The following is an 11,877-nucleotide window of genomic DNA, read 5'->3' on the forward strand; positions in this document are numbered from 1 at the left end:
CTATGATCCATGCACAGCAGTAGACACCCAGATATCCCTGGTTTGACAGTCAGAGTGCACAGAGAGATTTATTGCTGGAATGAGCAGTTCCCCTGACATTGGTATTGAGCTCTAGCTGATCAAACATCAATGACTATAGGCTGTAACCTTATCCTGGGCACTGCTTTGTAAGAGATGATGAGTAATGACGTAGTGAAATATTTTATGGAATTTTGTTTTATATAATTCACATACTTCGTAAGAGGGTTGTATTGATTTCTCTCTGTATAATTTGGGGTCATTGAGACTAGGATCTGGTAAGTTGGAGAGTCAGGCATTGGACTGAGCAAATCAATAGAAATACTTCTTCGTATGGGGGTTAAGAATCATGTTAAGAAAAGAGTGTGAGATCCACTTCTTAAATAATATTTATATGAGCTCTACGTTCAAAAGCAGAATCCCAACTTGAACTAGCTTTTCTGTTCCACTAAAAAACATGAGCAATACTTCCATTAGGATAGCTAACTAATCGGATGGGACAACCAACTTTTTACTTAGCTCCTCCAAAATCATCCTAAAACAGTCTTTAAATAGTTTTTCCAAGAATTTGAGGGAAACAGTGTTCAGACAAGAAGCTCTAATTTTATTTCAAATTTGAAACTAAAAATTGTATTTTAGCCCTACTTTTGTTCTAAGTAATTCATTGGGTTTGTGTAAATCACTGTCATATGTTTGCAAAGCACTCCTGATAAGCAAGAGTTATTTTACTCTCTTTCTTGGTAGCAAGAAAAATGCATCCCTGGTAAATTAAATCAATGAATGGAAAGAACACCAACTTTTAATCAGAACAAACATGACTTCAAATCTAGGCTTAACTAGCTGCATGACTTTGAGTATGTTACTTTACTTCACCAGCTCTCAGTTTTGCCACAAAGTGAGAATTTTAAAAATGTTTATTTTCATGCGCGAGCATGTGAAGAGACCACCAAACAGGCTTTGTGTGAGCAATAAAGCTTTTTGATCACCTGGGTGCAGGCGGGCTGAGTCTGAAAAGAGAGTCAGCCAAGGGAGATGGGGTGGGGCCGTTTTATAGGATTTGGGTAGGTAAAGGAAAAAGGGGGGTTGTTCTCTGGTGGGCAGGAATGGGGGGTCACAAAGTGCTCAGTAGGGGAGCTTTTGAGCCAGGATGAGCCAGGAGAAGGAATTTCAAAAGATAATGTCTCAGTTAAGGCAGGAACAGGCCATTTTCACTTCTTTTGTGGTGGAATGTCATCAGTTAAGGCAGGAACCGGCCATCTGGATGTGTACGTGCAGGTCACAGGGGATATGATGGCTTAGCTTGGGCCCAGAGGCCTGACATTTATGTGTTGGAATTTTGAAATATTACTTGGGTATAACATAAATAAAAGTTTGGCTCATAGTAACAACTGATTAATATAAATTTATTTTACTTTTTGTATTTTTTTCCTGAGAGAGATAGACAGAAAAATCATAGGGCTCGAGGGAAAATAGATAGCAATGCAGTCCTAGATCACTGGAAAAGAAAATGAGAATAATGTGGAACCACATTTTAGGATTTCCTATATAAAGGTGGAGCAGAAGTGAGAATGAGAATTGTTCAGGTCATACATGAAGTGGAAAATGACTGCGCATCATCCACTTTGCCTGACTTCCAGGAACTCACATGTTGTGGAAGAGCTCTAGTGTTCCATTTACAACTAAGTACTAGTTTCTTGATGTAAGTTTTCATAAAATAAAATTTCACTTAAAAGTTAGAAAATGTGAGTGATTAATATATTTTATTTTCACTTTTTATGTCAGTTTTGTAAAATTGTGCTTCATTAAGAATTTGAGTATTTAATTTTTCAAATTTCATGACATAAATTGTGGATAGTATCTTACTAAATTATTTTATTTTTGTAAGATCTTTAGTTACGTCTCTTTTTCCCATCTAAATATTAATAATGTTTGCCTTTATTCTCTTGTTTTTCTTGCCCTCTCTTTTTAGAGATCTATACATTTTCTTAGACTTTTCAAAAACTTGTTTTTATAAATTTTCTTTTTGGTATGTCTATCTATACTTCAATTAATTTCTACTCTCGTCCTTATTATTTTCTCTCATCTATTAAATACATCGGAGGGGTGAGGGAATTATTTTACTATTATTTTCCTGATCTCTAGAAATGATATTTCCTGATCTCTAGAAATCTCTAGATTTCTGATTTTCAGATTTTCTTAATTTCTAATGTGAATTAAGTTTTAACAGAGCTTTAGCTACATCTAGTACCTTTTGACATATCGTATTTCTCATTCATTTAGTTTAAAATATATTCTAATTTTCTTTGACACCTGGGATACTTTAATACATATTGCTTAACTTTCAATTATTTGAGAACTTTTTAATTTTTTTTGTTATTGAGTTTTAGTTTAACATTAATGTAGCAGATAACATTTTCTGAATTATTTTAAACTTTGAAGCTTGTTGAGACTGGCTTTTTGACTCAGTCCATGGCCAATTTTGTTTAATGTTCCATATACACTTGAGAAATAATAAAGATGTATTATGTAATCATTCCATATAGTATTTAATTTTTATCAATTAGATTATATTTATTAATCCAATTGTTAAGAACTTCTAAATACAGAGTTTTTATCTGTTTAGAACATAGTTTTGTTCTACTACTTTTTGAAAAATGTGTGATAAAGTTTTTGAAAAATGTGTGATAAATGTATAATTAAATTATACACTTTAATAATTGCTAGTGTATATGTATTCACATATTTATACATGATATATAATATATATAGAGAGACAGAGACAGAGAGAAGTGAACATAACATAACATAAATATCAATTTTAGTACATTTTCATAACGTGCACCCACCATGTACTCAGCTACCAGATCAAGAGTGAAATATTATCAGCACTCAAAAAGTTAATTTTGTTCTCCCTTCCAGTCACTATTTCCTAAAGAGTAACCACAGTTCTGCCTTCTAATAGCATATGAACACTTTGCATGTGTTTTTAATGTTTTAAAATGAAAGGAATCATACTGTGCGTTCTTTTGTCTGTGGCTTCTTTGGTTCCACATTATGCTTTGAGGCTAAACCACAGCAGTGGTAGTTGTTATAGATCATTTATTGTGATTGTTGTATACTATTTCACTTTGTGAATATACTATCATTTATTTGAATGCTGATGGAAATTTGAGTTATTTCCAATTTGGGTTATTTCCAGTAATACTGTGATAAATATTTCAATATTAGCCTTTTGGTAAGCATGTGTGTATAAATTTGGGGTGAATATATACCTAAAAGTAGAAGTGATGGGTCCTGGAGTTCAGCTTCAGCAGATATTGTGAAAGAGTGCTACAGGGTGGCTGTATCAATTTATACTCTTCTTCAGCAGAGCATGAGAGTTCTGGTTGTTCTGCAACGCTCAAGAGTGATTACTTTCTGACTTTTTCATTTTAGCCATTCTGGTAGTCATGTAGTGGTTTCTCATTGAGTCTTCAATTTGCATTGCCAGTGAAGTTTAACAACTATTTATATTCGAATAGCCTCTTTTGTGAGATGTCTGCTCATCTCCTTGGCCCATTATAAACACTGATTTGTAAGAGTTCTATATTCTGAATATAGGTCTTTTGTTAAATATAAGAATAGTGAATATAGTCTCCCATTTCATGGGCTGCCTGTTAATTCTACTAATAATGTCTTTTGGTAAATATAAATTATTTTCGTATAATGTAGCCATTTATATTTCCCCCCCTATGTGGATAGAACTTCGGGGGTTCCATTAAGAAATATTTTCCCACATTAAGAAAATTGTCTTCTGTTTTTCTATAAATGGTTTATTATTTTACATGCCATATTTAATATTCAACTCATCTGGAATTTATATCTTGTTTATGATATTAAATGAGAGCCAAAACACATAATTGCATATGGCTACTTCATTACAGTGTTATATTTTTGATTATTTGTAAGTTATAATCCAAAGACCCTGATATGAGATCAATATTAGGATATTTGAAAGACTTTTTTCAGATTTAGGAATTCTCTAGTTTTTCTTAAAAATACACACAGTGGGACTGCTAGAGAGATGATAGTGTTATATTTAAAATCCCCAGAAATATGGTGAAGAAACCAACAAAATACATATGTACCAATAATTTGAGGGAAAGATATCTCAATGAAACTTTAAATATAAATGGTTGAAGACAAAGCAGTAATGGTTAAATAAGTACTATAAATATTTGTGTGTGTGTGAAACAGAAAGAATGAATAAGATACCTTAAGAAGCTAAGGCTAACAGAACACAAGCAGAAAACAGGCACTCAATGCAAAGATCAGAGAAGTAGTTTGAATACAGTAGCTGAAACTAAAATGCTATTGCACACTGAGAGAAGTTCGTGGTAAGGTCTGAAGGAGCTGAAGCAATCTATGCTCTCCCTATGAAGTGTCCAAACCATGAAGCCAAGGCTACCTTCTCAAAGCCAAGAACTGAAGAGAGACTACTGTGATTTGGATCCATATGAACAGCATAAGACAAAAGAAGGAAAAGGCTCAGACAAAAATGAGGAAGGAAACCAATGCCTGGAGATATCTGCAAGAATAAAACCCATATTTTTGATCCCTTCACAAAAGTAAGAGAAATGATAATGTTGAAGTGCAAAGCTAAACAATTATCTTGACCCAACCCTCCTTCTTAAAGTTCAGGAAAATTAAAATTACATAAAATTTGGGAATAAAAATGTTGTGTTTGCTTTCCGTGGAAACATACTGCAAGAAAAAAGTTGGAGGAGAAGGAAGAAGCCACATAACAGATCTGTAGACAGAAAAATGGAAAACCAAACAGATGAAACTATAACCTACTATTCCAAAATGGGCTAAAATGGACAAGAAAATAAAGAGAAAACATGAAAGAACAGTACAGATTGCCATCAGTAAAAACTCAGAAATGAAATCACAAAAATCAAAAAATAATTAAACGGAAAATATTTCAAAAATCAGTATTAAACTAAAAAGAGAATTAAAACTAGATAATTCCTCAACATAAATAAAAGATGAATAGAAAGAATACTAAAAGCAAAAAAGAAATGACGTCTCAGATAAGCATTGAAAAAAAGTAGCAAAGGAAGTATATATTCAAAGAAAATCTAACGTATGTATAATGCAAATTCTCAAAAAGAAAAAATCAAAGGAAATAAATATTAATAATAAAACTTCAGGAAACTGGAAAGTCACTAGCATGATTAACATGGAGACTTAGTCTAGTAAAAAATAATAATAAACTTTAAAATTAGTCTTTAGATAGCCAAACAAAAAGAGGAAATCAATTGTAAAGAAGATAAAATTATCTTGTCATCAAACTTCTTAAATTGGAGTTGTTTATGTCAGATGCCACTGCTTAACCAAGGAAACATATTCATAGAAAGAATAAATGAATCAATTATATTACATCCTTCTAAACTGATTTTCAAAATAAAACTTCATTTATAGTTATGAAAATGAAAATCCCAGAAAACTCTATTTCCATGAGATTCTTATAATGAATCTGCTAGAGGATGAGCTTCAGATTACCCAAAACTTTCGGAAGATATATATTAAAAGTCTATGAGTATTATATTTATCTACATATCTATTTTACCTATCTATGTATTAATATCTATATGTGTTTGTGTGTGCGTCATCTAGAAGAATAAATTATAAAGTATTTGCTTTGGCAAAAGATATAGTTGAATTATTACAAAATAAGAGAATAAGGAAAGTTTGTCAAAATATGTAATAGCAATTATTACCTGGAGGTAAAATACTTTAACTTTATATGCTGTGTAAGAGGTTGGAGCAGGGAAAGAAAAGTTTATTTGTTGATTTCAATCTTGTTCTCAGTAAAGCACTAGTAAAAAAAATTATTAAAGGGATGTCATAAAATGGTGTTATTGTTAAACATAAAAATAAAAACACAAAAATCCATAAAACAAACCATATATTACAATAGGATATGCTACTTTCTACCTAAAGAGTGGTATTGTATAGCTATTTACTTTTCTTAAAAATTGATAGGAAGAAAAAAATGATAAAACAATCAATCAAACAATAATTTAGCTTGTAAAAGTGAAAGAGAATAGAGTAGAGAAAACAGGGAAAGAGGTTGAAATTCTTTAAATATGCCTTATTTTATAAATTGGACTTGGAACTATGTAAATATTTTATGTAAAAATAGAACATTAAATATTTTTAAAATTTCTGAAGTTAACATTATAATAAATTAAATGAATTAAATTGGCATGTACTTCAAGGCATAGAAAGGGACTATTCTAAGTGATTCTGAACACATTAATTTGATAATAACCCCACATTAATTGGATAATGTATTACATTGAATTACAAGAAAAGTTGCAAAATAAAAATTTATATAATTTTTAACAATAATATTAGTAGTAGTGCCAGTAGTATCATTTTGTTTTCCCTGTTTGTAATTTGGGATAAAATTATGAGTAATTATGTCATATTTTAATTCTAATATTTGCAGCACTTTTGCCAACTGAGATTTTTCAGCATTGAAGAAGGTAGATGAAAATGTAAGATGCAAGAAGTTATGTAAAAGTCTGTAATCCTGACTTTGATTTTAAAATATCCACATAAACGTATTATTATATCACTAAAATCTTTATTGATCTATCCAATGAAGAAGGCTAAAACAACAAATAACTCAAAAGTAATGATTATATTCAATTCCCAGATTGTGAGCACATCATAAGGAATCAAGGAATTTGGAGAAATTGCTGATTTCAGATCTAGGGCAGCAAGTCTGGAATAACTTTACAGATCTGATAGCAAGAAGGTTATCAAAAAGCACTAGAGATGAGCCAAAAGAATTTAAAAGACAAATTGAAAGAGGCTCTCAATTCAAAATTAAGACAATTTGTGATTCTACACAAGTAACAACTACAGAAGATTCAGAATTTCACGTGTGTTTTATCCATTGAATCCATCTGACAATCATTTGAGAAGTATTGGCAACACTTAGAGAAGGATGGTGAATCAACATATTATTTTTAAAGCTGTTAAATAAGGGGAAAGAATCATGCATTTATCCTTCCCTTCCTATATGAACCATACCACGGGGTAAACAAATAGTTGAAGACAGTGTCTCTTTAACGTATAGTCATCCCTTTATACATGGGGGATTTGTTTGAAGATTCCTCCCGCACATAGCCAGATCTGTGAATATCTAAGTCCCGCAGTCAGTTAGCCCCGCAGAACCCACTTTACTGTATGAAAAGTCAGCCCTCTATATAAATGGGCTTCACTTTCCACCACTACTGTACTTTCTGTGTGTGTTATTCTCCATGTATAAGTGGTCCTGCGCAGCTCAAACCCCTGTTGTTTGAGGGTCAACTGTATTCCAGCTAATAAATGAAAATGGAATAATAGAATTAGGATATTGCAATTTTGCTGAGTGTATGCTATTGTATATATACATGCCAATCTATATGCATTTTATATGCCATTTTGCAACCTTTAAGGGCTTACAGGATTTAGGCCCTGAAGATCAACAGCTGCTAATAACATAAAAGTAGAGGTAACAAGACATATATGCCCCGATAAAAAAAAAAAAACTCATATTCTCTGAAGTAGTCATGCCAAAAAACAAACCAAAATGAAAACAATTTCGAATTTGATCAGGACTCTACATTCAGCTTTCATGTTATAGGACATTTGGAGTAGTGAAGACCATTTTAATAAGAATGTAGACAGCAAAATCTAAACTATGGCAATTCCAAAGGACCATATTTTTCTTTTTAAATTTTTAGAGATGGGCTCTCACTCTGTTGCCCAGGCTGGAGTGCAGTGGTGTGATCATAGCTCACTGCAGCCTCAAATTCCTGGGCTCAAGGGATCCTCTTGCCTCAGCCTTTTGAGTAGCTGAGATCATGGGGTTGGGGGGAGCCACAGCACCCAGCTAACATTTCTTAAACAAATAAATTCCAAGAAAAGAGATAGAGACAGAAGGAGGGAGACAGGAAGAGAGAGAGAGAACCTAGAGAGAAGAAAAGAGATTTTAAAATATTAAACAATTGTAATATGTGGGCATTATTTAAATCCCGCTTCAAAAAAAAAAAAAACAAAATATAAACATAAAAGAAAACATCTCTGACATTTATGGGACAACTAAAAATTTGAGCTGTCTGCACAACTGATGATATTAAAAGATTGTTGTTAAATTTTTGGAAGGTTTCATGATGTGACTGTTAAAAAAGGAGCTCTAATATCCTAGAGAGATACAAAAATTTTGACAAATGAAATTATATGATGTTTAATATTTGATTTAAACAATTGGAGATGTGGAAAATGGGTGAAAATCAGATGAAGCAAATTTGGCCATGAATTGGTAACAGCTGGTTGGTGGTATATGAAGGGACTTTTAATATTCCGTCCACTTTTGCATATGCTTGAAGTGCTCCATAATAAAAAGTTAAAATAATAATAATGGTAAGTATATATGCCGATCTTGAAACTAGCGGAGTGCACACGTGGCACACATAAAAAACAAACCTATCTTGTCTTTTTCCCTGGGTCTGCACTCAGGAATTTTAAAATTCATCTTTTTCCAGAAACAAAATCTTTATTTTTTATATGCCATATTTGCTCAGAGCTGTTCAGACTTTTCTCATGAGACACCAATCATAGCATCTCATTTATTGCTTGTTATTTTTGTCTGTCATTTATAGAGCTTGTCAGCCTTTTACTGTGTTTATTACAATAGAGCAAACCTTTTCCCTGGGACCATCTGGAGTTCTGCTCCTTAATAATATTTCTTTCAACACCTACTAGCTCTGAGGTGGTTGTGAGCATGCTCATAGGCTAAAATAGGCATCTATTTCATGGCCATGTTCTGTCAAATTCATTTATTTGAACGTTGTGGGATCAATTTGTTATGGACTTTTGGTTAGATCAGTGTGTTTTAATTGGCACTAGACATGAGCTGGGTATTAAATGTACTCTTGGCATCCCTAATTGCAATACAACTGTTGCCCTATTCTGGTAAACACCTGCTTTAGAGCAGTCATTCTGTACAAACTTCAAACACGTCTGCCAAGTGTTTCTAACAGACAGCACAAGTCACTAGGCTAGAAATGACAGTCATTTAAAGTCCTGTGTAATTATGGATCCTCCAAGACTTTAAAAGAAAAAGTTGGCATTTGGGGGAATAACTTGGAAACATTATACAGTCTAGTTTGAATATTAGCTCAGTTCTACTAGGCCAAGTGGACTGGTGAGCAAGAAAAGAATTAACTTCTAAAAAATGAAGAAGATAGTGCCATAATTCATTAAGTTTTTAACCAAGATTAGTGATAAGTTTTCCCTTAGGTTTCATAATGAATTTGATTCTTTAACAGCAATAATTTTTTTCAAATTTTCTATATTAAAAACATTTTTTCTTCAAGATGACTCAACTTCAGGATCCAAAAAAAAAAGTCAGAAAATTAGATTTCCAGTTACATCAAACCACAAAGTTTATCATTGTCCAATAATGTGAGGTGCACATTTCCTTGTAGTTAATTTCCTTAATAATTTTACCTTAAGGTCTTCCTCTGTGATGACCTTGGCAATTTTGATCATAGCTAAGGTTATCAAAATATTTACAGTGGGTTGCTAAGTCCAAGGAGGCAACATTATATTGTATCCTCCGAAGTACAAAGAGTGCTGCTCCTTGCAGTTGTGCAAAATAGTAGCACTGATATTTAGACTATATAGAAGAAAATACCTATGCCAAAAGGGAACAAATTATCTTAGCATGTTCCACACACCTCTCTGAAATATTCCTTAACACCCCACCTTCTCTAAAAATGAAACCTTTTCAAACTTCACAGCATGTTTTCTCTTTGATTAAAGACATGGATTTTCACAACAAACTTAATTAAAGGTAAAATGTTTCTGTAACCAAATAGGAGACTGTGACATTTATATTACAGAAATTTTTGTTTGAAAGTAATTGTTGACTTGTTTCCAAGGCTATGGGGAAGATAAAGTAGAAATTTAAATGGCAGGCTTGAGAAAAGAAGTCAAATGTAGCCACAAGGCAAATGGCACATGAAGTTTAAAAGCTTTGTTGATGAAAAGAGTCAAACTCTGTAAAATATTCAAGGAGGTTTATTCTGAACCAAATATGAGTGAGCATGGCCTGTGACAGAGCTCTCAGGAGGTCCTGAGAACATGTCCCCAAGATGGTCGGGGCACAGCTTGCTTTTACATATTTTAGGGAGGTATGAGATATCAATCAAATACATTTAAGAAATACATTGGTTTCGTTCAGAAAGATGGGACAACTCAAAGTGGGGGCTTCCAGGCTATAGGCAAATTTAAATATTTTCTTGTTGACAATTGGTTGAGTTTATCTGAAGACCTGGGATCAAAGGCAATGTTCAGGTCAAGATAAAGGATAGTGGAGACCAAATTTTATCGTACAGAGGAAGCTCTCAGATAGCAGACTTCAGAGAGAGCAGGTTGAAAAATGTTTCTTACCGGACTTAAAAGGGTGACTGGCTCTTAGTTGAATTATCTCCTGGATCTGGAAAGGAAGAAAGGAAAACAAAGTGGAAAGGGGATTCTCTATATAGAATGTGGATTTTTCCCACAAGAAACTTTGCAGGGCAATTTCAAGGTATGTCAAGGAAATACATTTTGGGGTAAAACATTTTGAATTTTTCCCTTGTTATGCCAGAGTCAGATTGGAAAGTAAGTCACAATACACAACGTTAAATAAAATCCATCTGATGAGAATTTATGGTTTGTAGGGCATGACACCCCAGACTCCTTAGAAAGGAGTTTGGGCGAGATAAAAAAAAATCAGAGCTTAGTCCTCAGTGCCCCCGCTTGGCCAAAAAGCATTCCATAGAATGCATGTGCAGGCCAACAACAGCAGCAGGTCCCTCGGCGCTAGGAAGGCTCATTCCTAGGGTTGTCTGATTCGGCCATCTGGAAAGGTCCCATAGTGCTAGGAAGGCTTGTTCCTCGAGTCCTCTGATTTGATGGTAATAGTTTTAAATATTAGTCATTTGGATAATGGAGAGAGGACATGGACTGACCTGATGTAATAGCCAATTGTCTAAGGGGTGAGATGGAGTCAGGCCTAGGGTTAAATTTAAAAAAAAAAAAAAAAAAAAAATCCTGGATCAGATCTATTTTCTGGGCTATCATGGTCCACATCTTTAATTGTGCCTTCCATGCTGCTGTATCTGGCATAACATTTACAAGAAAATGTCTAATGTTAATATAGTAACAAATATCATAAAGATAGTGAAGATTTTGCTGTCCAAGGTTATAGGTAGAATCAGAGGGCAGTAAACAACCCAATCAGCCAGAAAAGAAAAACCCCACGTGCATCACCATATTCTTTGTTTAGACTTACAATGTGTTTACCCTCCTTATTAGGAGTTATTTGAACCCTACAATAAATCTAATTTGAAAATTGTGGGACCAACATTAAATTGGATTTTAATAAATTTGATCTCTCTTTTGGCCAATTTATCTCTATAGGTATAGCACCCTGAGGAAGGTACAAATTAAATGTGAGAAGTGTCTGGTGTTCGGTGTCTAAATTGTTATAGACTTGTCAACAGTAGACAAATCTATTTTTCCCATCACTTTTGTACTGCACCATATGCTGGTACTTGGGAGAGAAAACGTTTTGTCACAGGAGGAGTCATATATTTCTACAGTGTCATTTTTCCTCAGCAAGACTTCCTGTGGCTGAGGGTCATAAGAGTCAAAAGACTTATAACCAATTAATTGTTCTAGGCCGGATAGGAATGGATGTAGACAGGCATTTGCTACTTCTTAAAATTATTATTTTAAGTAAAAAGGCCGACAGAAAAACCAAAAGGAAAA

General features: G+C 33.4%; 1 annotated feature.

Annotated features, from left to right (window-relative positions):
- Nucleotides 947–1,518: an enhancer, noted in NCBI's record as "OCT4-NANOG hESC enhancer chr3:21018406-21018977 (GRCh37/hg19 assembly coordinates)". NCBI's record gives its function as "activates a minimal SCP1, AML or CMV promoter by ChIP-STARR-seq in primed H9 embryonic stem cells {active_cell/tissue: H9 hESC(primed)}" and the evidence as "EXISTENCE:reporter gene assay evidence [ECO:0000049][PMID:30033119]".

Source organism: Homo sapiens, chromosome 3 (genome assembly GCF_000001405.40).
Source record: "Homo sapiens chromosome 3, GRCh38.p14 Primary Assembly".
NCBI lineage: Eukaryota > Metazoa > Chordata > Mammalia > Primates > Hominidae > Homo > Homo sapiens.